The sequence below is a fragment of the Homo sapiens genome, chromosome 7, assembly GCF_000001405.40.
Source record: "Homo sapiens chromosome 7, GRCh38.p14 Primary Assembly".
Classification (NCBI taxonomy): domain Eukaryota; kingdom Metazoa; phylum Chordata; class Mammalia; order Primates; family Hominidae; genus Homo; species Homo sapiens.
In genome coordinates, this window is record NC_000007.14 from 1,566,158 (window position 1) to 1,590,469 (window position 24,312).

General features: G+C 53.4%; 1 protein-coding gene and 1 long non-coding RNA gene across 5 annotated transcripts, besides 12 other annotated features; one reads left to right on the forward strand and one right to left on the reverse strand.

Moving 5' to 3' along the window:
- Positions 761 to 1,329: an enhancer, noted in NCBI's record as "NANOG-H3K27ac-H3K4me1 hESC enhancer chr7:1606554-1607122 (GRCh37/hg19 assembly coordinates)". NCBI's record gives its function as "activates a minimal SCP1, AML or CMV promoter by ChIP-STARR-seq in naive H9 embryonic stem cells {active_cell/tissue: H9 hESC(naive)}" and the evidence as "EXISTENCE:reporter gene assay evidence [ECO:0000049][PMID:30033119]".
- Positions 761 to 1,898: a biological region, named in NCBI's record as "NANOG-H3K27ac-H3K4me1 hESC enhancers GRCh37_chr7:1606554-1607122 and GRCh37_chr7:1607123-1607691".
- Positions 1,156 to 1,450: an enhancer, noted in NCBI's record as "tiled region #12096; K562 Activating DNase matched - State 5:Enh". NCBI's record gives its function as "activates a minimal TATA promoter and a strong SV40 promoter by Sharpr-MPRA in K562 cells {active_cell/tissue: K562}" and the evidence as "EXISTENCE:reporter gene assay evidence [ECO:0000049][PMID:27701403]".
- PSMG3 (proteasome assembly chaperone 3) lies at positions 1,175 to 3,875 on the reverse strand. Of its 2 annotated transcripts, NM_001134340.2 has the most exons (3): positions 3,852 to 3,875; positions 2,967 to 3,203; positions 1,175 to 1,693 (listed from the first exon to the last, which is right to left on the reverse strand). In NM_001134340.2, exons 2-3 carry the CDS (start codon positions 3,180 to 3,182, stop codon positions 1,541 to 1,543), a joined length of 369 nt encoding a protein of 122 aa, NP_001127812.1. In that variant the 5' UTR covers positions 3,183 to 3,203; positions 3,852 to 3,875; the 3' UTR covers positions 1,175 to 1,540. The 2 variants fall into 2 exon arrangements, with proteins under 2 accessions (NP_001127812.1, NP_115678.1); NM_032302.4 differs by having other exon boundaries at positions 2,967 to 3,875.
- Positions 1,330 to 1,898: an enhancer, noted in NCBI's record as "NANOG-H3K27ac-H3K4me1 hESC enhancer chr7:1607123-1607691 (GRCh37/hg19 assembly coordinates)". NCBI's record gives its function as "activates a minimal SCP1, AML or CMV promoter by ChIP-STARR-seq in naive H9 embryonic stem cells {active_cell/tissue: H9 hESC(naive)}" and the evidence as "EXISTENCE:reporter gene assay evidence [ECO:0000049][PMID:30033119]".
- Positions 3,547 to 3,976: a silencer, noted in NCBI's record as "silent region_17860". NCBI's record gives its function as "represses an Ori minimal core promoter by ATAC-STARR-seq in GM12878 lymphoblastoid cells {active_cell/tissue: GM12878}" and the evidence as "EXISTENCE:reporter gene assay evidence [ECO:0000049][PMID:35858748]".
- Positions 3,547 to 4,173: a biological region, named in NCBI's record as "H3K27ac hESC enhancer GRCh37_chr7:1609398-1609966".
- Positions 3,605 to 4,173: an enhancer, noted in NCBI's record as "H3K27ac hESC enhancer chr7:1609398-1609966 (GRCh37/hg19 assembly coordinates)". NCBI's record gives its function as "activates a minimal SCP1, AML or CMV promoter by ChIP-STARR-seq in primed H9 embryonic stem cells {active_cell/tissue: H9 hESC(primed)}" and the evidence as "EXISTENCE:reporter gene assay evidence [ECO:0000049][PMID:30033119]".
- PSMG3-AS1 (PSMG3 antisense RNA 1) lies at positions 3,916 to 23,469 on the forward strand. 3 transcript variants are annotated; one of them, NR_021487.2, is made up of 6 exons: positions 3,916 to 4,376; positions 8,558 to 8,706; positions 9,630 to 9,731; positions 17,005 to 17,112; positions 18,227 to 19,460; positions 21,664 to 23,469. It is a non-coding gene; the product is annotated as a PSMG3 antisense RNA 1 (long non-coding RNA). The 3 variants fall into 3 exon arrangements; NR_027329.1 differs by having other exon boundaries at positions 3,916 to 4,122; positions 18,227 to 23,469; NR_027328.1 differs by lacking the exon at positions 17,005 to 17,112 and having other exon boundaries at positions 3,916 to 4,122; positions 18,227 to 23,469.
- Positions 4,417 to 4,496: a silencer, noted in NCBI's record as "silent region_17861". NCBI's record gives its function as "represses an Ori minimal core promoter by ATAC-STARR-seq in GM12878 lymphoblastoid cells {active_cell/tissue: GM12878}" and the evidence as "EXISTENCE:reporter gene assay evidence [ECO:0000049][PMID:35858748]".
- Positions 4,797 to 4,866: an enhancer, noted in NCBI's record as "active region_25496". NCBI's record gives its function as "activates an Ori minimal core promoter by ATAC-STARR-seq in GM12878 lymphoblastoid cells {active_cell/tissue: GM12878}" and the evidence as "EXISTENCE:reporter gene assay evidence [ECO:0000049][PMID:35858748]".
- Positions 4,877 to 4,926: an enhancer, noted in NCBI's record as "active region_25497". NCBI's record gives its function as "activates an Ori minimal core promoter by ATAC-STARR-seq in GM12878 lymphoblastoid cells {active_cell/tissue: GM12878}" and the evidence as "EXISTENCE:reporter gene assay evidence [ECO:0000049][PMID:35858748]".
- Positions 9,570 to 10,392: an enhancer, noted in NCBI's record as "NANOG-H3K27ac-H3K4me1 hESC enhancer chr7:1615363-1616185 (GRCh37/hg19 assembly coordinates)". NCBI's record gives its function as "activates a minimal SCP1, AML or CMV promoter by ChIP-STARR-seq in naive and primed H9 embryonic stem cells {active_cell/tissue: H9 hESC(naive and primed)}" and the evidence as "EXISTENCE:reporter gene assay evidence [ECO:0000049][PMID:30033119]".
- Positions 10,393 to 11,215: an enhancer, noted in NCBI's record as "OCT4-NANOG-H3K27ac-H3K4me1 hESC enhancer chr7:1616186-1617008 (GRCh37/hg19 assembly coordinates)". NCBI's record gives its function as "activates a minimal SCP1, AML or CMV promoter by ChIP-STARR-seq in primed H9 embryonic stem cells {active_cell/tissue: H9 hESC(primed)}" and the evidence as "EXISTENCE:reporter gene assay evidence [ECO:0000049][PMID:30033119]".
- Positions 23,470 to 24,312: the final 843 nt, after the last annotated feature.

Sequence of the window (24,312 nt, forward strand, 5' to 3'; positions counted from 1 at the left end):
GCTGAGACTCATTTGAACCCGGGAGGCGGAGGTTGCAGTGAGCTGAGATTGCACCACTGCGCTCCAGCCTGGGTGACAGAAGGAGACTCTGCCTTAAAAAAAAAAAAAGAAACAAGCAGGGGTTCAGAATGGGGTAATAGGCGTGACAATTAAAAAAAAAAGAAGAAGAAGAAAAAGGAAAGAAATGAGCAGGATGCATGCCTGTGATCCTACCACTTTGGGAGGCTGAGGTGGCAGGATCACTTGAGGCCAGGAGTTCTGAGACCAGCCTGGGCAACACAGAGACCAGTCTCCATTTAAAAAAAAAAAAAAAGAAAGAAAAAGAAAAAGGGGAATATTCCTTTCTGATTCCACACACACCCTATGCCCGTTTGTTTACAGGTACCTAAGGCAGTAAACCCCCAACTCCCTGGAAGGGCCCACTGGGCGCTCACTTCGCTCCAGAGCCTCGCCTGGTTTCCGCTTCGGGATCCGGTCACCCAACCCAGCTCTCCAGTTGCTGCTGTTTCTCGTGAGACTGTCAGAGTGAAGGGGTCCAAAGCTCCGACTTCCAGCCTCAGAAATCCCAACTCAGGCAGGATCAGCGAAGCGTCCCTCGCAGTGGCTGGAGGGAGAGCCAGGCGGGGCCCAGGCTGCCACTTATCAGGGCTGTAAATGCCACCCTGAGGCCCACGCCTGCCAACACTGCTCCCCACAAGACTAAGTCCTGCAGCCTCAGCCCAGAAGGACCCGCGCCTACCCCCACACGGAGGTCATGTTCAGCCACACCCCAGTGAACCCTGGCGACCCACCCCACAGTGCCCTGCCCTCCCGTGCTCCTCTCTCCTGACCTCTGTGCACGCTGCTCCCTTGACAGAAGCGTCCCCCCTCCCTTGCTATGCAGGATTCAGAGGACAGCGTCTGTCCCCAGCTGCAGCACGGTAACGGGCACACACATTAAGATAGTAAGAGATGTCCGCTGACGGCCACCAGCTTCCCAGCAGGCTCAGAGAAGTTACTGGAGTTGGAGCTGGGTGACAGCGTGCACAGGCCCAAGCATGGGATCCACCCAGTTCCTGGGAACTACGTCCCTCTGCGTTTCTGCCCAACAAGCTTCCCTTCATGAAGCCCATGAAACTGAACTCATGCTGTGCGGCTGCAATGTCTCGCTACTGTTAAGGAGGACAGTGAAGTATTTTGGGATACACATTCGCTTTTAATAAAAAAGAAATTTCCTCCTACAATTGATCCTGCACACGGGGGGGCCATGAGCCACGCCTGCTGACTCATTCCTCCAATTCTCAAACACAAGCAACGATTCAGGTCCTGGTGAGAACCATTCACGACTCCTCCGGGACCTGTTCCACCCTCCCCGTCATGCACAGATGATCTTAGTAACCAGAGTAAGAGTCTGCCTGAGACACGAGTCTTTTTTCCTGGCTCCAAGGGCTAGTGCCAAAGTTCCTCCCTCCACCGGGGAGGGAGGTGAGACTTGAGTCCCTGAGTGGGTGTCTGGGTGTTCACGTGTCCTGCTGAGCAGCGCGGGGCGGCTGCCTCCAGGTCACCACACCTGGCACACCCGGATCACCTCCCTCAGCGCCTTCAGCCCCTCCATGCTTTTGTCCTTCACGGCCACGGCGAGGAGGACTGCTCTGTTTCCAGCTTCTTGAGACACAAACGCTACCAGGTTCTTTGCAAAGACATGGATGAGAGGCTGGTAAAGGAAGGAGAAGAAACCATTTTAACTGCAAGAAACCTGGTTTTTTCCTCAATGCTTTCATGAAGTATCCCTTAGGAACCCAGGCAGGCTTCCCACACCACCATTAACCGCCACATAAGTCCATGCAACTGTGACTCAGAGTTCTGGCAGCACTCAGAACACTCCAGTCACGGGCACACTGCTAAAGACCATCACTCCATTCATTTTCCCAGCGCCTTCCGCAGCCCCGCCTCTTCTGGCTCTCTCTCATCTAAAAGAACCCAGGAAAGAGAAGCCTGCAGAAGCGAGTGCTGTCGAATCTCACGTGTGATCTCCACAGAGCACAGCACAGCCAGCCGCCTGCTCACGTAATGTACCATGGCAGGGGAGGCGGCTCGAATGACAAAACTGCTGCTTCTGCTTGTCTGCTGGATAAAATGCCTGCGGGCTGGACAAAGCATCCACTGAGGGCAAGCAGGGCGCCTTGAGACCCACAAATGCCCGGAAAATGCTATCGCTGTAGGGGTATTTGTCCGCCAGATGCCCCATGTCCTTACTGACAAATCACAGCCACTGGAGAGGTTTATGCTCCTCCCTGGGGGTCCCTTCCTGACCACTTTATTATTATTATTATTATTATTATTATTAAAGACAGAGTCTTGCTCTCTCACCCAGGCTGGAGCGCAGTGGCACAATCATGGCTCACTGCAGCCTCAACCTCCAGGGCTCAAGCCATCCTCCCACCTCAGCCTCCCAAGTAGCTGGGAGCACAGGCACACACCACTAGGCCCAGCTAATTTTTTGTTTCCTTTTCTTTTCCTTTTTTTTTTAAGACCAAGTCTCTATCTGTTACCCAGGCTGGAGTGCTGTGGCACGATCTTAGCTCACTGCAACCTCCGCCTCTCGGGTTCAAGCGATTCTTCTGCCTCAGCCTCCTGAGTAGCTGAGATTACAGGCATGTGCCACCACACCCAGCTAATTTTTATATTTTTCGTAGAAATGGGGTTTCCCCATGTTGGCCAGGCTGGTCTGGAACTTCTGACCTTAAGTGATCTGCCCGCCTCAGCCTCCCAAAGTGCTGGGATTACAGGTGTGAGCCACTGCACCCAGCCTCTCTCTATATATATATTTTGTGTAGGCACTTGTTTTTTTGTAGTGACTTGTGTGTGTGTTGTTGTGTTGCCCAGGCTGGTTTCAAACTCCTGGCCTCAAGCGATCTGCCCGCCTAGGCCTCTGAAAGTGCTAGGGTTACAGGCGTGAGCCACAGTTCCCGGCCAATCCACTTTACCTCATCCTGCCCCAGAAGGACTTTTGTGGTGAGCACAGGCTTGCTGACGTCACTGGCCACGCTGCTGGGCTCCAGGGAGACCAGGGTGCCCATCTTCCCAAACTGGGTCACCACCACCAGGATGTGACTGCTGAAGGCCGTACACACCACCTGGGTGGGGACCCCGCACACCACCTCCGTCTTCTGCTTCGATATCACCAACGGCGTGTCTTCCATGGCGGGGCTCTGCAGTGGCAGCTTTAATTTAGGTTAAAAAGAAAGGGGAAAAAAAGGAGTCAATCAAACAGTACAGCCTTGGGGCTCCCAAAAAAGTAGCACGGGGCATTGAAACGGAAACGCAAGGAGGCCCATTCAAAAGAAGGGGCCAGGCGCGGTGGCTCATGCCTGTCATCCCGGCACTTTGGGAGGCCGAGACAGGACGATCGTTGAGGCCAGGAATTCGAGACCAGCCTGGCCAACATAGCGAGACCCCCATCTCTACCAAAAAAAAAAAAAAAAAAAACCAGCAGGGCGCGCCTGTGGTCCCAGTTACTCAGGAGGCTGAGGCGGGAAGATCGCTTCAGCCCGGGAGGTCGAGGCTGCGGTGAGCCGTGATCACACCATTGCATTACAACCCGGGCGGTAGAGCGAGACCCTGTCCGTAAAAAAATAAAACAGAAGCAGGAGCGGGGCCGCCCATAGAGACCGCGCCTGGGGCTTTCTGGGTTAGGGGATCGACTTGCACGTTCACACTGCCAGGCCGGGCAGTGGCTTCCCGCCCCTCGGCCTCGCCGCCGCCCCGGCCCTGCAGCCGCGGCCCGGGACCCCCACGACACGCGGTGCCGAGGCCGGCCGGGCTACTGGGGACGCAGCCGCCCGGGGAAGCCCGCGGGTACCCGCGCTCACCAAGCCGGCGCCGCGCCCGGAAGTGGCTCTGCGTGCGCCACGCGGGCCCGCCCCGTCCGCGGGTTCCGTCCACCTTCCGGAAGTCAGGGCCGCGGCGCTTCTGGTCCCGGAGACTTGGGGCTCCCGGGCTTCTGAGCGGCTCGGGTTCCGCGCTGCCGGCAGGGCTTGGGGGCGCCTTAGAGCCGAACCCCGTTTTTTCAGGAAAGGGCGCTGCGACCACCCCCGTCCCGGGCCTCAGCCCCTCTGCTGCAGACCCTCGGGATCGTCGCTGGTAGGAGCTCTGTCCCCCGTGTCTGTGTCCAGGACCCCCGAAGCGCCGCGCCTAGGAACCCCCTAGCGCTGGGAGCCCGGCCCTGCTCGACCACGGGCTTTGGGCTGGAGGCGTCATCGTCGCCACAGCGAACGCTTATTTGGCACCGAGTGTCCGCCAGGCATCGCTCTAAGCGCTTTATACCCATAACTCACTTCATCTCAGCCACCCGGTTCCGTAGAAGCGTTTCATCCGCGTTTTACAGACGTGTGCAGGTGCAGAGAGCTCGGCCAGGCTCAGGCGGCGGGCGGGCTGGGGTGGGCTCCGACCGTCCCTCGGGCGCTCCGTGACACGAAGCCCCGGCCAAGGCCAAGAAGGGGGCCAGCCCCACCCTGAAGCGGGATGAGTTCTGGTTCCTCCCAGGGACCCCCTCACTCCCTACTGCTCACTCTCAGTTTCTCCAAGCTGGAAGGTTTTTTGTTTTGTTTTGTTTGAGACGGAGTCTTGCTGTGTCACCCAGGCTGGAGTGCAGTGGCGCGATCTCGGCTCACTGCAGCCTCCGCCTCCCTGGTTCAAGCAATTCTCCTGCCTCAGCCTCCTGTGTAGCTGGGATTACAGGCGTGCGCCACCAGGCCCGGCTAACTTTTTAAATTTTTAGTAGAGATGGGGTTTCACCATGTCGGTCAGGCTGGTCTTGAACTCCTGACCTCAGGTGATCTGCCTTCCTCGGCCTCCCAAAGTGCTGGGATTACAGGCGTGAGCCACCGCGCCCCGCTGCTGGAAGTTTTATTGGTAGGGTCGGACATCTTGGTAGCAGAGGCTGAAAGTGATTGGAGCCTCCAGAGCCTTCCTCGGGGTGGGGCGTTTAACATCCCTTCAGAACCCCACCCTCGGAGGCCTTACTGTCGTTTCCTGACAACCATGTCAAGGCCGTATTTTCTGTCTATATTACCAGAAAGGGGTCCCGATCCAGACCCCAAGAGAGAATTGAGGGCGAGTCCACAAAGTGAAAGCAAGTTTATTAGAAAAGTAAAGGAATTGAGGCAGGAAAACAGGGTCTGGAGGCAGGGAACACTTCAGCTATGACAGGAAATACCCTCTCCATAGGGTGTACACTGAGTAAATGATTTTGTAACTTTATTTCATCCTCTTTATTTACATAGGGCGTACACCAAGTAACCAGTAGAAACCCCTAGAGGGTATTTAAACCTCACAAGTTCTGTAATGGGGCCCTGAGCCTCTATGCTTTGGCCGCCCCCACACCATGGAATGTACTTTCATTTTCAAAAAATTTCTGCTTTTGTTGCTTCATTCTTTTTTTGCTTTGTGCATTTTTTTTTTTTTGAGACAGAGTCTCTGTTGTCCATGCTGGAGTGCAGTGGCGTGATCCTCACTGCAACCTCTGCCTCCCGGGTTCAAGCAATTCTCCTGCCTCAGCCTCCTGAGTAGCTGAGATTACAGACGTGCGTCACCATGCCCGGCTAACTTTTGTGTTTTTAGTAGAGACGAGGTTTCGCCATGTTGGCCAGGCTGGTCTTGAACTCCTGACCTCAGGTGATCTGCCCGCCTCGGCCTCCCAAAGTGCTGGGATTATAGGTGTGAGCCACCGCGCCCGGTGGCTTTGTGCATTTTGTCCAATTCTTTGTTCAAGATGCCAAGAACCTGGACACCCTCCACCAGTAACAGAATAAAGAATGGCTACTCCATAGGCAGAGCAGCATGGGCTGCTGGTTGCCCATTTTTGTGGTTATTTCTTGATGATATGCTAAACAAGGGGTGGATTATTCGTGCCTTACCTTTTTAAACCCTTTAGGGTAACGTCCTGGCATTGCTATGGCATTTGTAAACTTACGGCGCTGGTGGGAGTGTAGCAGCTGGGACGACCAGAGGTCACACTCATCGCCATGTTGGTTTGGTGGGTTTTGGTCAGCTTCTTTACTGCAAACTGTTTTATCAGTAAGGTCTTTATGACCTGTAGCTTGTGCCGACCTCTTATCTCATCCTGTGACATAGAATGCCTTAACTGTCTGGGAATGCAGCCCAGCAGATCTCAGCCTCATTTTACCCAGCCCCTATTCAAGATGAAGTTGCTCTGGTTCAAACACCTCTGACATTTACACCACTGAAGCTCCAAGGAAGATCTTGACTCCCTCTTCTCACCATTTGATGACTTCGTATCCAATCCAAGTCAAGTCAAATGAAGCATGCTCCTTCCAATGATGATTTCTGGAGGCCTAAAATAAAAAGCATGCATACAGAAAATGATCAAAATAGACATAAATCAAGGGGAAATTCATTTTTGAGCATTCTTGCAGCCAGTACACAAAAGGAGAGATGATGAGTTTCATGGTTCTAATACTCAAAAAACAGGAAGCATATCAACTTCCCAGGAAAGTCTAAGTTTCTGTCGGCTCTAAATTTAAACACACATCCACCCACACATACCCCACAAGCAAATTGCCAGTGGATTGCTTTGCCATCTGAAATCTTCAAAAGGTTCACTCGCTTTTATTCACCTGTTTGTGTATTCTCCCTCTCTGTAGGCAAATAGATACAAGAAATCTGATCCTGTCCTCTCAAAGAAAACCCTCTGAAATAAACTTATCACCTTTAAAAAAGGGATGTTGAAGAACAAGATGGATTTTTGTTGTTGTTGTCGTTTTTTGAGATGGAGTCTCGCTCTTGTCGTCCAGGCCGGAATGCGGTGGTGCGATCTCGGCTCACTGCAACCTCCGCCTCCCAGGTTTAAGCGATTCCCCTACCTCAGCCTCATGAGTAGCTAGGATTATAGGCACCTGCCACCACGCCCGGCTAATTTTTGTATTTTTAGTAGAGACTGGGTTTCGCCATGTTGGCCAGGCTGGTCTCAATCTCCTGACCTCAGGTGATCTGCCCGCCTCGGCCTCCCAAAGTGCTGGGATTACAGACGTGAGCACCCAGCCTGGATGTTGTTTTTGATGACACTGCTAAGCACTTATGTGAGGGATTGTTTGGGTGGTTTGGGTCTAGATCTAAGATAAAGACAGTAGGAAAGAAATGAGAGGTGGAAGGTTGTCCTAGGCTGAGGTGGTGGTCCAGGGACTTTCTGGCAGCCTGGATGGATGCCTGGGCAGAATTTATATATCTAGAAGAATGGAAGAGGACCTCATTGCATGCCATTGACTGTTCTCCAGTACCCAAGGGTAAAGGAACTGGAAAGAAAGACTCACTCAAGTGCATTCACATAAAATGGGAATCTAATAGTAATGGTGCCAATTGTGGGGCAAAGAGTTCAAGGAGTTATTTTGAAAAATGAAAAAAAAAGCAAAGTATCTTAAATTTGTCTTATATTCAATAAATTGTCGGTGATAATGCTATGGTGTGTGCATTTGTAGAACCAACAAAGACTTAGTCAAGTGCCGATTTGGTAGGATTGTAATTTTTCCGACAAATTGTATGATCGCTACACACGTTATCCTTCCCATTGTGTGTGATTTTCCCAGCTCCAGGATGAAGAGGATTGGTTTTACAAAAATGGGCAAGGACACCATCAATTTCCCCACAAGTCTCTCTCTCTCTCTTTTTTTTTTTTTTTTTTTTAGACAGAATTTCACTGTGTCGCTAGGCTGGAGTGCAGTGGCAAGATCTTGGCTCACTGCAATCTCCACCCTCCAGGTTCAAGCGATTCTCCTGCCTCAGCCTCCTGAGTAGCTGGGATTACAGGCACCCACCACCACGCCTGGCTAATTTTTGCATTTTTAGTAGCGACGAGGTTTCACCATGTTGGCCAGGCTGGTCTTGATCTCTTGACCTTGCGACCCGCCCGCCTTGGCCTCCCAAACTGCTGGGATTACAGGCGTGAGCCACCGCACCTGGCCACGTCTCTCTTCATCGTTTAATAGTCTCACCCTTTCTTGTTGAAGGACCATCCGGCCATTAGCCATGGGCGTGGCCTCACTCTCAGCCGCCTGACTGTGTAGCTTTGCCAGGGCCTCCCACACTGACCCACTGCTTTGGTCTCCATCTGAGCATCCCTGGCATCCCATTTGTGGGCTTCCTGAAACCGTTTTTTTTTTTTTTTTTTTTTTTTGAGATGGAGTTTTGCTCTTGTTGCCCAAGCTGGAGTGTAATGGTGCAATCTCGGCTCATTACAACCTCCGCCTCCCAGGTTCAAACAATTCTCCTGCCTCAGCCTCCCAAGTAGCTGGAATTACAGGCATGCACCACCACGCCTGGCTAATTTTGTGTTTTTAGTAGAGATGGAGTCTCTCTATGTTGGTCAGGCTGGTCACGAACTCCTGACAGGTGATCCGCCCACCTTGGCCTCCCAAAGTGTTGGGATTACAGGCGTGAGGCACTGTGCCTGGCCTAGATTCCTGAAACCTTATGTCTCTTGGAAGATAGACGGTTTGGCTTTGCAGCTGATGTGCTTTGTATTTCCACAGCCTCACGACACGCTCTCCCATCCTCTCAACAGGAAAGATTCTGAAGCTTGGCGGAGAGGGGTGTGTGAGTGGACACCAGTGAAGTAACGGTTTTTGTGTTACGATGATTTCTGTTTTCCTCTGCTGCCCTGTAATGGCAGGAACTCGGATAGTCTGGTCTTCAGACCAGGAGGACTCCCAGGTATGGCAAATCTTAGATTAGGTAAAACTTTAGGCATCAGAATCAACCTCCTTGGCTGTTAATTTTGAGCAACTTGCCTCAGTTTCTCAGCTTAAAAATGAAGATGAAAAATGAGGGTGCCTGTCTTGTGGGATTTAGAGGGGCAGCCAACACACAGCAGCAATTCGCTGGAACGTTATATGTTCATTATTTTATCTTTTTTTTTTTTTTTTTTTGAGATGGAGTTTCGCTCTTGTTGCCCAGGCTTGAGTGCAGTGGCGCTATTTCCGGCTTATTGCAACCTCCACTTCCTGGGTTCAAGCGATTCTCCTGCCTCAGCCTCCCAAGTAGCTGGGACTACAGGCATGTGCCACCACATGTGGCTGATTTTGTGTTTTTCATAGAGACGGGGTTTCTTCATGTTGGTCAGGCTGGTCTTGAACTCCCATTCTCACGTGATCCATCCACCTCAGCCTCCCAAAGTGCTGGGATGACAGGCGTGAGCCACGGAGCCCAGCCAAGCTTTGGAGTTTTATGTGAACTGAAGTATTTCGTTTAACACCACACAGTAAACACAAAGGAAACCCACCGTTGCTGGGCCGCCTTCCATCATGGCGCAGAATTGAGAGTCGAGCACGTCGCTTTGTTTTCTGCCAAACTTAGCCAAGCTCCGGTCTTAAAATCTTTTCGTTCCTAGCGTGAGGCTTTCTGTCTTTGTTGCAAATATTGAAACCTGCCACGTCACCTCTTGCACTATTTGTTTAGTTCTTTAAGAAATGAAACCTTAATCCATGTACAATTTCTAAAAGCCTTTATTTCAATATTTTAAGAAGTTATTTCCCCTGGCAAAGAAGCCGCCCTGTTGCCCGGTGTGGAGCTCGATGACAAAGCTCATCAGCCTGAGTGGAAGCTCATTCATTATTGCTGCGTTTTCGCTCTTCCAGGAGAGAACGGAGAGCCAGTGTGCTGTGTGTCACGGTCCCTGGATGAACGTTTGTGGAACTGGATTGAATTAAACAAGACGTGCAAAGCAAGTGGTTCACGAGGTAGTGTGGGGGTGTAGGGATGGGGACTGACCCGGGAGGCAGGACACAGCCCAAGCCCTGCCTTGGCCTCACCTCTAACTTGCTGATGACCTTGGATGATTCCCTTCCCATCCTGGGCCTCTGTTTTCTCATCTGTAAAATGGGCAGATTGGCAATGTGGCCTCCAGGTCTGTACTTCTGTGATTGCTGTGTTTCCTGGGGGGTTCCTATCTACTCTCAAGACTCTCGAACTGGGGTGGGGAATGTGGGATCAAGGAGGAAGGGGTGGCCCGGTGGTCCTGCCTGTGGAAGGTAGGGAGTGTGGTAGGGTGGGAAGGTGGGAAGGGCCTCACTGCCCGAAGGTCCTGTCTGTGTCTGTGGGTTAGTCTAGAGGCCTGACTGCATGGCGGGCTGGAGCAGGCAGACTGGACACAGCACGAGCACTTTCTGAATGCCGGAACTTTCCGAGGCCTTCCATGGCAGGTGGGGAGAGCCCTGCCCCAGAGGAACTGAGCCCTGGGCCTGTGGGGCTTTGCATCAGAGATTTCTGCATTTGGGAGGCTGCACTCAGACTGTGAAAGGCTTTTGCAAACCCAAACGGCTGTCATTCTGTAAGTCAAGTTACAACTGATAGCCACAGGGGATACTGCTCAATGCACCTCTGACAGCTAACAAAAAACAGAATGCAAATTCAAGCTAAAGATAAGGCTGGGCGTGGTGGCCCACGCCTGCAGACGTAGCTACTTGGGAGGCTGAGTTGGGAGGATCACTTGAAGCCAGGAGTTTGAGGCCACCCTGGGCAACATAGCAAGACCCTGTCTCTACAAAAAATAAATAAATCAGCTGGGCGTGGTGAGATGCACCTGTAATTCCAGCTACTTGGGAGGCTGAGGTAAGAGGATCGCTTAAGCCCAGGGGTCCGAGGCTGCAGCGAGCTATGATCATGCCACTGCACTCCAGCCTGGGTGACAGGAAAGTAAAGGAATAAAAGGGTGGCTACTCCCATAGGCAGAGCTTCCCTGGGTGCTGCTGACTGGCTATTGTTAGGGTTATTTCTTGATCACATGCTATACAAAGGGCTGAATTATTCATGCATTTTCTGGAAAAGAGGTGAGGAATTCCAAGAACTGAGGCTTCCTCACCTTTTTAGACCATGTTGGGTAACTTTTCGACGTTGCCATGGCATTTGTAAACGGTCATGGCACTGGTGGAAGTGTCTTTTCACATGTTAATGGATTATAATTAGCATGTAATGAGCAGTGAGGACGACCAGAGGTCGCTTTCCTCGCCATCTTGGATTTGGTGGGTTTCGGCTGGCTTCTCTACCACACTCTGTTTTATCAGTGGGGTCTTTGTGACCTGTGTCTTCTGAAACCCGTCCTGCTACCTCCTATCTCAGAGTCATGTAGTGTGTGTAGCCTTTCCTGATTGGCTTCTCCTATTGAAGATACTAATTCAACCAGGTTGTTGCCCACATCAGTAATTAATCTCTTTTTTTTTGCTGGGTAGTATAGTCTATTGTCTGGATGCACCACCGTTTATTTATCCATTCTTCTATTGAAGACATTTGGGTTATATCCAGCTTGGTCCACTATGAATAAAGCCACCATTGACCTTCATGTACAGGTGTTTGCGAGAACATAAATGTTCACTTCTCTTGGGAAATACTTGGGAGTGGGATTGCTAAGTAGCATGGCAGATACGTGCTTAATTCTAGAAGCTTCCAAGCTGCTCTCCAAAGTGTCTGCACCACTGTGCATTCCCTCCAGCAGTGCAGGCACGTCTCAGTTGCTCTGTATTCCTGCCGAACAGACATCTGTCCATCCATCCACCCATCCATCCATCCGCTCATCCATCCATCCATCCATCCATCCATCCACTCATCCATCCATCCACCCACCCATCCATCCGCTCATCCATCCATCCATCCGTCCATTCATCCATCCACTCACCCATGCATTCAGTCATCTATCCATCCATTCACCCATCTATCCATCCACCCACCCATCCATCCACTCATCCATCCACCCATCCATCCATCCACCCACCCATCCACTCATCCATCCATCCACCCACCCATCCATCCATTCAGTCATCTATCCATCCATTCACCCATCTATCCATCCACCCACCCATCCATCCACTCATCCATCCACCCATCCATCCATCCACCCACCCATCCATCTGCTCACCCGTCCATCCATCCATCCATCCATCTACCCACCCATCCATCCATTCATCCACCCATCCATCCACTCATCCATCCATCCACCTACCCATCTGTCCACTCATCCATCCGTCCACCCACCCATCCATCCACCCACCCATCTGTCTGCTCATCCATCCACCCACCCATCCATCCACTCATCCATCCATCCACTTATCCACCCACCCGTCCATCTGCTTATCCATCCATCCATCCATCCACCCGTCCATTCATCCATCCACTCACCCATGCATTCACTCATCTATCCATCCATTCACCCATCTATCCATCCACCCACCCATCCATCCATTCATCCATCCATCCACCCACCCACCCATCCATCCATCCACCCACCCATCCATCCACTCATCCATCCATCCATCCACTCATCCACCCACCCATCCATCTGCTCATCCATCCATCCATCCACCCGTCCATTCATCCATCCACTCACCCATGCATTCACTCATCTATCCATCCATTCACCCATCTATCCATCCACCCACCCATCCATCCGCTCATCCATCCATCCATCCACCCGTCAATTCATCCATCCATCCACTCACCCATCCATCCGCTCATCCATTCATGTATTCACTCATCCACTCATTCATCCATCCGATCATCCATTCATGTATTCACTCATCCACTCATTCATCCATTTACTCACCCATGCATTCACTCATCCATCCATCCACCCACACATCCATCCATTCATCCATCCATCCACTCACCCATCCATCCATTCATCCATCCATCCATCCGTAAGAGAAGTGTTTGCTTGGTCATTCACTCGATGAGCATTTTCTGCTGGAAGCTGATCCAAGGCCCCCTGCTACCACCCCCATGAAGATATAAGACAGACAATAAACAAATGCCTGCAGGTCAAGGCAGAGCCAGGAAAAGCAGAAATGACCCTACTGCCAACAAGTAGAACAGGAAGTAATTTCAAAGAGATTTGAAAGGAAGGAGAAAATGCTCCCCTACGAAGACAGCTGAAAAAAAGAATGAGATGGGCCCGTAAGCAAAGACCTCCTGGAAATACAGGACCTCCTGCCTGGTGGAGAAGGCCAGCAGTGATGCCGTGTCACCAAGGTCGACTGGGGTGGTGGGGCAGAATTAGGTGGGACTTCCAGCTTTCAACATCCACACATATTCTATATGAATTTTTTATAGTTGACATTTTTGTTGTTTTTTGTTTTGTTTTCCACAGGGTCTTGCTCCGTCGCCCAGTCTGGAGTGCAGTGGCAAGATCTCTGCTCAGTGCAGCCTTGAACTCTCAGGCTCAAGAAATCTTCCCGCCTCAGCCTCCCAAAGTGCTGGGATTACAGGTGTGAGCCACTGTGCCCGGCTATAGCTAACATTTTATTTTTACAACCAAAAAAGAAATAAAAAGGGAAAATAAGGAAAAATACTTGCAGTAGTTGTAGCCAGGGAGGTTAGCGTTGGACAGACACACCTGTGAGCCACAGGTGCACCCCAGGAGGGGATTTGAGCGGGGTCCTGGCAGGAATGAGGGCAGGAAGGAGGAGCGACTGGACTGTCTCCAGCCACTGGGAAGCCGCGTCAGGAGGGCATGTTTCCAGTGAACGCCTCTGGGGGGCAGCAGAGGCCACAGAACGCTCCTGTGCAGCGCTGGGGCTGGGCTGGGGCTGGGTCCAGAGTTGGGGAGGGAGGGAGGTGTCTTATTCTCCTCACTCTCTGGTTGGGGGAGGGAGGTCCTCCTCCTCCTCTCCGAAATTATGCATCTTCCTAGGAGGCCAGGAGCCAGTTCATCCCTCTGTCTCTCTCTGTCTCTTTCTCTCTGTCTCTGTCTCTCTCAGCCTGTTTCTCTTTGTCTGACGGTCTCTCTCTGTCTGTTTCTGTCTGTCTGGGTCTTTCTCTTCTCTTTCTCTGCCTACCTCTCTGTCTGTCTGTCTGTGTGCCACTCTCTGTCTCTTTCCTCTCTCTTGGTCTCTTTTTCTTTGTCCGTCTGCCTGTCTGTCTCCATGTGTCTATTTGTCTGTCTGTCTCTGCATCTCTGTCTATGTCTGTCTCTGTCTCTCTTTCTCTTGGTCTGTCTGTCTGTCTCTGTCTCTCTCATTTCTGTCTCTCTTGGTCTGTCTGTCTGTCTCTGCATCTCTGTCTGTGTCTGTCTCTCTCTCTTTCTCCATCTGTCTGTCTGCCTGTCTCCTTCTGTCTCCCATGGCCTGCCTGTCTCTGTCTCTCTGTCTGTCTCTGTCTCTCTGGTTTCTATCTCTCTTGGTCTGTCTCTTTCTCTGCCAGCGTGCCTGTCTGTGTGTGTCTCTCTGTCTCTTTCTCTCACGGTCTGTCTCTGTTGGTTTCTCCGTTTGTCTGTCTACCTATTTCTTTCTGTCTCCTTTGGTCTGTCTGCTGTGCATCTGTCTCTGTCTCTGTCTCCTTTTCTCTCTCTCTCTCTCTGTCTTTCTCTTATCTGGGTCCCTCTCTCCCCATCCAGTCAGCTAATGACAAAGCACTTTGTCTTTGGAAGGTGTTGGCATCTGTAATTGACGTCACAGGCACCTGCTGAGCCTGACCCCGTGCTGGCTCTGCAGAGGTAGCCAGGACACAGGCCCAGCCCGCAGTCCTCTGGGGAGACGGGCCAGGCGCACGCAGGTAGAGGATTATAAATCAGACAAGGACATGACTGTTCAGAATCGGGCCCGGGGAGACAGAAGCTGGAATAGACTGTCAAGGCCATAACAGAAGCGCAGGGCCTGTGTGTGCCGGTGCCGGGTCCTCTGCAGTTGCTGTTATTGGGCCTCAGCCTCAGCTCTGACCTTCCTGGTAGCCCTAGAGAAAAGGGAAACGAGACCGGGCAGCCAGGTTCCTGACTCCCTGTCCTGGGCAAGGAGCCTCCCGGCTGCTCCGCGAAAGCGCCGTGTTCTGAGCTGCTCACAGCCCTGCGGCTCTCTCTGGGGCTTTCTGAGGGTCTCTCTGGTGTCAGGGCAGTGCATGGGCACTCTGTCCAGCACATGTGTGGCAGGCTCACGCTCTTCTCCTGGGACATAGCTCCAAAGGACAGGGCGTTAGGATGGGAGGTGGCCCAGGGACCCCGCCTCCCCCAGGGCCAGGTCTGGGGGCTCCTGGCTGGGATGGTGTTTTATTTTCTTCTATTTTTAACTTAAAAAATGACGATATAAGCACTGCATGTGGTGGCTCACACTTGGAATCTCAACACTTGGGGAGGCCAAGGTAGACAAATTGCTTGAGCCTAGGAGATCAATACCAGCCTGGGCAACATTGCAAGACCCTGTCTCTACAAAAAATTTAAAAATTAGCCTGGTGTGGTGTCATGCTCCTGTGGTCCCAGCTACTAGGGAGGCTGAGGCATGAGAATCGCTTGGGCCCAGGAGGTTGAGGCTGCAGCGAGCTATGATTGCACCGCTGCACCCCAGCCTGGGTGACAGAGCCAGACAGACTGTGTCTCTTAAAAAAAAAAAAAAGTTTTACTTTGCATACAGTAAAATGCACTCCTTTCGTGTTTTGTTCTGTGAGTTTTGACAAATGCAGACCATCTTACAGCCATAACCATGACTGAGACCAGCCTGGCTAACACAGTGAAACCTCATCTCTACTAAAATACAAAAATTAGCTGGGCATAGTGGCGGGCACCTGTAATCCCAGCTACTCGGGAGGCTGAGTCAGGAGAATCGCTTGAACCTGGGAGGCGGAGGTTGCAGTGAGCCAAGATTGCACCACCGCACTCCAGCCTGGGCGACAGAGCGAGACTCTGATGCAAAACAAAAACAAACAAACAAAGACCCCAAACCAACGACGTCCTCCCCCAATCCCCTCACCGTCTTTTGCCGTCAGCCCTCTGCCCGCTGAAGCCCTGACCCGCTCCCTGCCTTGTCTCCAGAATGTCGCCCATGTGAGATTGTACATCAAGTGCCAGCTTGACTTTGGTGGGGGTGAGCTGTACACGTGTGTTACCAGCACATATGTGTAAGTGTGTGCGGCTGTGAGCATGGAAACCTGTGCATATGTGGTGTGTTCGTGGAGGGGCTGTGGGACCTGAGGACTCACCACTGTGTGGCTGGGACCAGCTCTGTCCCTGCCTCTCCGGTCCCTCTGGCCCCTCTGTGCCCACCTGGTCACTGCATTCACCTACACATGCAGCCTCAGCTCCTCCCGTGGTCTCCCTGCTCTTGCCTTTGTTCCTGAGGGAAGCCTGTGGACCCTGTGCCCAACCCATTGTCCATCTTCCTGACTGTCTCTCCTGGTCCATGAGCCGAACACTTTTTATCTTCTTTTTTTTTTTTTAAAGACAGAGTCTCATTCTGTCGCCCAGGGTGTGGTGCACTGATGCGATCTCACCTCACTGCAACCTCCACCTCCCGGGTTCAAGCGATTCTTCTGCCTCACCCTCCCAAGTAGCAGGGATTACAGGCGTACACCACCACGCCTGGCTAATTTTTGTATTTTTAGTGGAGACAGGGTTTTGCCATATTGGTCAGGCTGGTCTCAAACTCCTGACCTCGAGTGATCCACCCGCCTCGGCCTCTCAAAGTGCTGGGATTATAGGCCACCACGCCCATCCTATTTTAATTTTTCTTTTTCTTTCTTTTTTTTTTTTTGACAAAGTCTTGCTCTGTCACCCAGGCTGGAGTGCAGTGGTGCGATCTCAGCTCACTGCAACCTCCGCCTCCCCGGTTCAAGCGATTCTCCTGCCTCAGCCTTCCGAGTAGCTGGGACTACAGGCGCGCACCACCACGCCTGGGTAATTTTTTGTATTTTTAGTAGAGACAGGGTTTCACCGTGTTAGCCAGGATGGTCTCGATCTCCTTACCTCATGGTCTGCCCGTCTTGGTCTCCCAAAGTGCTGGGATTACAGGCAAGAGCCACTGCGCCCAGCCTTTAATTTTTGATCGCAGTAAAATGCACATCACAGAAAATCAGCATCATGACCACGTCCCACTGCAGAGGTCAGTGGCACTCAACACATTTACATTGCTGTGCAACCCTCAGCACCTGTCTCCAGAGCTCTTTCATCTCCCCAAACTGAAACTCTGCCCCCATGAAACCCTCACTCTCCATCCCCCCTGTGACCCCCGGCACCCACCGTTCTGTTTTCTGTCTCTGCAGATTCGATTGCTGTAGGGACCCCGTGGGTGTGGAATCAGACAGTATTGGTCCTTTCATGACTGGCTTATTTCACAAAACCCGATGCCGTCGAGGTCCATCCATGCTGAGGCAGGTGTCTGACTCCCTTCACTCTGTTTGGCTGAGCAGTATCCCATGGTGTGGATTCCCGTGGTGTGGATTCCCGTGGTGTGGATTCCCGTGGTGTGGATGGAGCACACTGTGCTCATTCACTTGCCTGTCGGTGGGCACGTGGGCAGCTCCCATCTCTCAGCTCCTGTGAATAACGTCTGTGGGAACGTGGGTGAGCACCTGCCTCTCAGATCCTGCTTTCAATCCTTTTGGGTGGGGGCTGGGCACGGTGGTTCACGCCCGTCATCCCAGCACTTTGGGAGGCCAAGGAGGGTGGATCACCTGAGGTCAAGAGTTTGAGACCAGCCTGACCAACATGGTGAAACCCTGTCTCTACTAAAAACAAAACAAAAAAAATTAGCTGGACATGGTGGCAGGCACCTGTCACCCCAGCTACTCAGGAGGCTGAGGCAGGAGGATCTCTTGAACCTGGGAGGTGGAGGCTGCAGCGAGCCGAGATCTCGCCATTGCACTTCAGCCTGGGAGACAGAGTGAGCCGCCATCTTAAAACAACAACAACAAATTAATCCTTTTGGGTTTTTTTTTTTTTTTTTTTTGAGACTGAGTTTCACTCTTGTTGCCCAGGCTGGAGTGCAATGGCACGATCTCAGCTCACTGCAACCTCCACCTCCCGGGTTCAAGCGATTCTCCTGCCTCAGCCTCCTGAGGAGCTGGGACTACAGGTGCAGACCACCATGCCCAGCTAATTTTCTTTCCTTTTTTTTTTTTTGAGTCAGAGTTTCGCTCTTGTTGCCCAGCTGGAGTGCAATGGTGCCATCTCGGCTCACCTCAACCTCCACCTCCTTGGTTCAAACGATTGTCCTGCTTCAGCCTCCCAAGTAGCTGGGATTACAGGCATGTGCCACCACGCCCGGCTAATTTTTTAAATATTTTTAGTAGAGATGGGGTTTCTCCATGTTGGTCAGGCTGGTCTCGAACTCCTGACCTCAAGTGATCTGCCAGCCTCGGCCTCCCAAAGTGCTGGGATTACAGGCGTGAGTCACCACGCCTGGCAGGGCCACACTCTTCAACTACAGAGCCCCCACCTCATTGGCACTGGTCCACTCATTGTCCAAATTCATTCGGTCCACAGATATTTACGGAGCATCCCCAGCTGCTGGATGCTGGGACCCACCAGTGGGCAAGAGGGCCGTGCCCACCCCTTCCTGGAAGAGACACTCACTCAGTAAATGCAGAGATTCAGTGTTGGGGTAACCCCAGCACACAGCCCTGAGGGAGGAAGCCCAGTGATTTGATCGGATTTGCTTTTCTCTTCTGCCTCGGATTCTGTCCAACCCCTGGAAGGACCTCTGAGGTGTCCCGTGGCTGGTTCTAGGCCCCATTCAAGCCTCCTCCTCCAGGAAGCCTTCCCAGTCCTGGGCATCTGTAGCCAGCTCGGTGTTTCTCACCTGGGGCCTGGGACGTCTCCCATTCTGAACTGCCGTGTTTTGGGTTTACTGTTCTCTGGCTTTTGGTCCCAGCCGGACGGTGGCCTCTTGTGTTCAGGGACAAGGCAAGGAGCATCCATGCACCCCCACAGTACCCAGGCTGGGTCTGTGCCCGCCAGGCCCCCGGCAAAGCTTGGATGATCCGGGCTGGGCTGTTCTCCTGCTGCTCTCCTGCTGCTGGCCTCGCTGTATCAGCTGATGGCCATCGCGCCTCCTGCACCCGTCATCCCGCCCTGCACGCCCCCGCCACGTGGATGAGCTCCCTGGGGAGTTAATGGCTAATGGAGTCTCCGCTCTCTCTTGTCAAATGCAGCCATCATCCGCTGGTGCTTTAAGGGACTCTCTCCCGTCCCCACCCTATTCTCAGGTGGCTCCTACCGACACCACCTAATGGTGAACCCCAACACGAGGACACAGGCAGTGCCCTCTCAGGACCACTGTGGGTGCCACCAGGCACGACTTCCTAAACACCCACAGAGCAAAAACCTGGAAATTCAGCCGAGGCACTGGGACCCCAACCTCTCCCAGAGTGGCCCCAGCTCCACGGCGTCTGCATGGCTCTGGCCGTGAGCAGAGCAGCCCCGACCTCCGTCCTGACCCAGGGCGCCGGAGCGCCACTGCGGATCTCACCACCACACAAGCCAGACCTGCTAGGAAGCCCTTCCCGGCCACCAGCTCTCGGGCGATGCACACAACAGGGCCTTTTGAATTCCCTGAGGTTAAGGTTCCCCTTGAGTCTCCTGGGCTACAAGCAAATCCCCCGAGGGGAGAAGTCCAGGCTGACACAGCCTCCTGCACCCCTGCCTTGGGAGGCCACACCTCGTTTGCCTCTAGAACCGACGACTGGGGAGCACTGTTTGCAGAGTTCTCTCTCTCTGGGTAAGTTCCGGAGCCACATCTCACTGGATCCACCACGGCCTGGGTGGACGGCTCTCGTGTGTTTATAGCTGGGTCCCTCGCTTGGGAGCTGCCTCCGGGTGGGCGGCCTCTCCAGCCTGTTTGAGTGCTCCACCCGGAGCAGGAAGAGGGCCGTGTGCTCTGGGCAGTGGTTCCTTGGGCACTGCATGGTCCTTGCTTCCCTCCAGGGCCCACCTTCCCTGGCCGCTGCATCCCAGCCGAGGGCAGGCCCCTTTTGCCAGCTGAAGGCAGAAAGGCCGGCAGCCCTGGGGTGGCGGCGGGCAGAGAAACCCCCCGGAGTGGTCTCCGTTCTTCTAAAAGTGATGTTGACCCCCGTGTCGCAGGCAGCTGGCAGGGTGGCAGTTCGATCTGTCGTTACGGGCTTGCACCACTGCGGTCTCCCACCCAGGGAGCAGCTCTGTCCAACCACAGCGAGCCTCCAGCTCCTACCCTCTGCCTGGGCTGGGGCAGAGCCTGGGGTCTGGGTGGGAGAAGCGTGACTCTGGGATGAGACCTTACAAAGCAGGTTCCTCCTGGGAGTCAGCCCGGGTCTAAACGCAGCTGGGCATGAAGGGGTGCCATCGGATGTCGAGTTAGGAGGACGAGAGACCTCCAGCCCCGGCACCCGCATGTCTCTTTGGAAACCAGCTTTGGCTGCGCCCCTGGGGACACTGTCTGCCGTGGCCTCCCGCTCTCCTCCCCGGCACAGGCAGGGGGTCTCCCTCCTCCACCGCCACTCCCTTGGCCTCGCCCTCCCCGCCAGGCACCTGGCTTTTCCCCACCGACCCCCCCGGGGGACTGCGGCCCCCAGAAAGGCTGCACTCTGGGAGCAAAGTGGCCTGAAACCAGAGAAAAGAACGCCGGGGGATTTGGCTTAAACTCGTTAAACCCAATGAACCCTCTTGCCGAACGATCGCAGTCTGCGCCCGGTCTTTTAATCTCGTTCGGGCCTCGGGGTAATTTGTTTAGCTGTGCTGATCAGCTGAAGGTTAATTCAATTGGACTTGGGTTATTTATTTGTGCCCGGATTTGCTAAGTGTCATTGGAGGTACATGAGGTCTTTATTATGGCGGCAAGATGGCTTCATTAGGGTGAGGGCCACTCCCTCCGGATCCGCCCCCTCCCGCCAGCTCCAGGCTGAGGCAGTCTTGGGAGGCTGGAGCCCTGGGAGGCTGGAGCCCCAGGTGCAGTGGCTCTTGTTCCTGGATGCAGGGGATATCTGAGCACTGTGCTGGGAGTCCAGCCTCGCCCAGCTCTGGTGTTGATACTGGACGGTTCTGTCACATGACCTATCCTAACCGAGGCTGAAGGACCTGCTTCCCAGGACCCGTCCCCTCCCTCAGGGGGACCTAAAGGCGTTTTCCCCACCCTGCCTCAGTGTTCCCATTCACACATTGGGAACAGCACCCTGTTCTCCTGCGGCCTCCCAGGCTGGGCTTTGTAGCTGCAGCCCCCACCCCGCCTGGCGACCGGGGCAGAAGGACGCTGAGGTCGCAGAGCGGGCAGACGGGTTGGCCGGGCGGGCAGACCTCCTGCACGGAGCCGGGATCCTTCTCAGGCAGCGGCAGATGATGGATTGCACGTGGACACTGCCTGGGATGCGTGCGACTTGGCAGCCTGCCCCTTTCCTGCCCTGGGATCAGACGCCCTGGCGGGTGTCCTTTTCCTGGTCCCCTGTCCTCCTAGCCTGGGGCGGCGTCTGGAGCGGGGAGGCTCACCCCTGTGCCCACGTCCTCAGGCCACCTGCCAGTCCCTGCCCACCCCGGCCGCGGAGGGGCTGTGGAGACTCAGGGAGTTCTGGGATGGCACAGAGGGCCCAGGCTGGTAGCAACCAAAGCCGTGGGAAATGTGGGAGGGATGGCAGGTGTCCCCCGAGGAGTAGCCCAGGTGCCCCGGAGGCTGCTGAGAGGGTTGAGAGTGCAGAGACGAGGGGCCCAGGGAAGTCTTGGATTCTCTCGCCATCTTCAATGTCGGAGCCCAGACGGGGCAAGGCGAGGAGGAGCCCGGGGCGAAGACGCCACCCACATTCCTCCTTCCCGCAGGCTTCTTCTCCTTCTAGCCCTTCCAGGAGAGAAACCATCCCACAAGTCCAGAGTAGTGGCGTCCCCGGGGCCATGTCTCCTGAGCAAACACTGTTTTCTAGGAGTCCGAGGGGCCTCAGCCATCTAGGTCAATCCCTTTGCAGAACGGTGAAGGAATCTGAAGCCCAGAGAGGGAAAACAATGCCTCCTGGGTCACACAGCCCATCAGGGGCAGGGCAGGGACGAACGGCGAGAAAAGGACCAGCGCGAGAGGAGATCCCCAGCAGTGATTCCTCAGCCAAGCCCAGCGTCTACCCACATCCACACCTCACAGCCACCTGATGGGGAAGGCACCATTGCCCCTTTTCAAAGGTGAGAAAACAGAGGCTCAGAGAGGTTCAGCAACTTCTCCCACAGCTACTTCGTTGTAGAACTGCAGTTCCAGGTGTCCCCGAGCTCTCCCTTCCCGAGCCATCTGCTCCTGCCCTCCTATCCGAGCCCTGGCCCTCCCAGTCAAAGCCGGGTAGTGGCTGTTCAGAAGCCTTGGGGCTAGTCAATCCCAGCTGTCTCGGACCAGGGCCCCCCCCAGGAGGAGACCCTGAAGGATGCAGTTGAGAATATGTGCTTTCTTTGGTAGGTGATCTCAGGAATTGCAGGGGAAAGAGGGGGAGCGTGTTAGTGTAGGCTCTCCGGAGAAGCAGAACCAACGCACAGAGGAGATTTAGGATGAGGAATCTGGTTTATGTGACTCTGGGGGCTGAGAAGGCCCACCATCTGTGTTGCAAGCTGGAAACCCAGGGAAGCCTGAGGTGTGATTCAAACTCAGCTCAGGTCTGGAGGCCTGAGAACCAGGGCAGCCGATGGTGGACATCCAGTCCAGGGGCAAGAGATGACGAGATGTCCCGGCTCCAGTGGCGAGGCAGGAAATGAGGGGTGAACTCCTCCTCCCTCTGCTGTCTGTTCTATTCAAGTTCTTGAGGGATTGGATTATGCCCAGCCACTTGGGGAGGGCAGTCCACCTTCCTGAGTCCACAATTCAAATGCTGATCTAATCCAGAAACACTCTCACAGACACAGTGTGTAGTCTGGGCACCCCACAGTGCACTTAAGTGGACACATAAAATTAACCATCCCAGGGAGTGAGATGGGTAAGGGAAGATGGGCCACAGTGGGTGTGTCTCCATGCCTACCCCCACTGTGGGCAGCTGCTGGAGCACACGCCTCAAAGTCTTCCCTGAGGGAGAGGGAGCTGAGGTGTTTATATCCCAGCTCTGTCAGGCATTGGCTGAATGTCCACACTCCTGGATCACCGCCTCTCATCCTCATGATGTCCCATGGTCCTCATTTCACAAGTGAGCTCTGGGTACATGGGGAGCATCAGTCACACCCTGGGTCAGTACCTCAGCTGTCTCTCACATGACATCCTCATTATCCACACTGCAAAGCCAACCATCCCTATGATGGGTTCATTGTGGATCATGACTTAGTGGGTCAAGAGTTTGGAAGTGGCTCAGCTGGGCGGTTCTTCTGCTCCATGTGGCTGCCAGATGGTACCCTGCTGGTGGGCAGTCTGGTCTAGAGGGTCCATGATGGCTTTACTCACATGCCTGGCATCTTGACAGGGACAGCTGGAAGGCAAGGTTCAGCTGGGACTGTCCACAGAGCTCCTCCCTGTGGCCTTTCCAGCATGGTGGTCTCAGGGTAGCTGGACTTCCTGCATGACAGCTCAGGGCTCCCAGAGCTACTGTCCCAAGAGATAGAAGGTGGAAACTGCCAGTCTCTTAGGCTAGGACCAGAAACCAGCACCCCTGCACCCACAGCCTTTTGGTAGTGATGAAATAAACATAAGATTTATCATTTTAATCATTCGTAAGTGGGATTAAATACATTTACAATATTGTGTAACCATCGGCACTGTCTATATCTAAAACTTTTTCATCATCTGCAATAAAAACTCTGTATGCATTAAACCATAACTCTCCATCCTTCTGCCCCTCTTGCCGCTGGTACCCACCATTTTGCTCTACCTCTATGAACAAGGCCATTTCAGACACTTCACATAAGCAGAATCATACAGTATCAGTTTTTTGGCAATTGGCTTATTTCACTTTACATAATGTCCTCGAGTTTCATCCACATTGCAGCACATGACGGCACCTCATTTCCTTTTAAAAATTTTTTATTTATTTATTTTTTATTTATTTATTTTTGAGAATGAGTTTTGCTCTTGTCACCCACCTGGAGTGCAATGGAGCAATCTCAGCTCACTGCAACCTCTACCTCCTGGGTTCAAGCGATTCTCCTCCTTCAGCCTCCTGAGTAGCTGGGATCACAGGCATCCACCAACACACCCAGCTAATTTTTGTATTTTTAGTAGAGGCGGGGTTTCACCATGTTGGCCAGGCTGGTCTTGAACTCCTGACCTCAGGCAGGTGATCCCCCCCGCCTTGGCCTCCCAAAGTGCTGGGATTATAGGCGTGAGCCACTGTGCCCAGCCTTCATTCCTTTTGAAGGCTGAGTAATGCTCCACTGTGTGGAAGGACCACGTTTTGTGTATCCATTCATCGGTCCACGACACTTGGGCTGCTTTCCCCTTTTGGCTGTTGGGGACGGTGCTGCTGTGAACGCGGGTGAACAAATGACTCAGTCCCCACATGCTCTTGATGGAGCCCGGAGCCCACAGATTCAACGGGAGGGGGAACAGCTTCCTCTCAATGGGAGGGGGGCAAAGAATTTGCAGTCTTTTTTCTGTTCATTTGTTTGTTTGTAGACAGGGTCTTGCTCTGTCACCCAGGCTGGAGTGCAGTGGCACC

Excerpts from the sequence above, each read along its gene's own strand:
- PSMG3 (NM_001134340.2), bottom strand. The coding sequence starts at position 3,182 with ATGGAAGACACGCCGTTGGTGATATCGAAGCAGAAGACGGAGGTGGTG. Across the intron at positions 1,694-2,966 it reads TCCTTCTGGGGCAGGATGAG|CCTCTCATCCATGTCTTTGC; the intron begins GTAAAGTGGATT and ends TTCCTTTACCAG.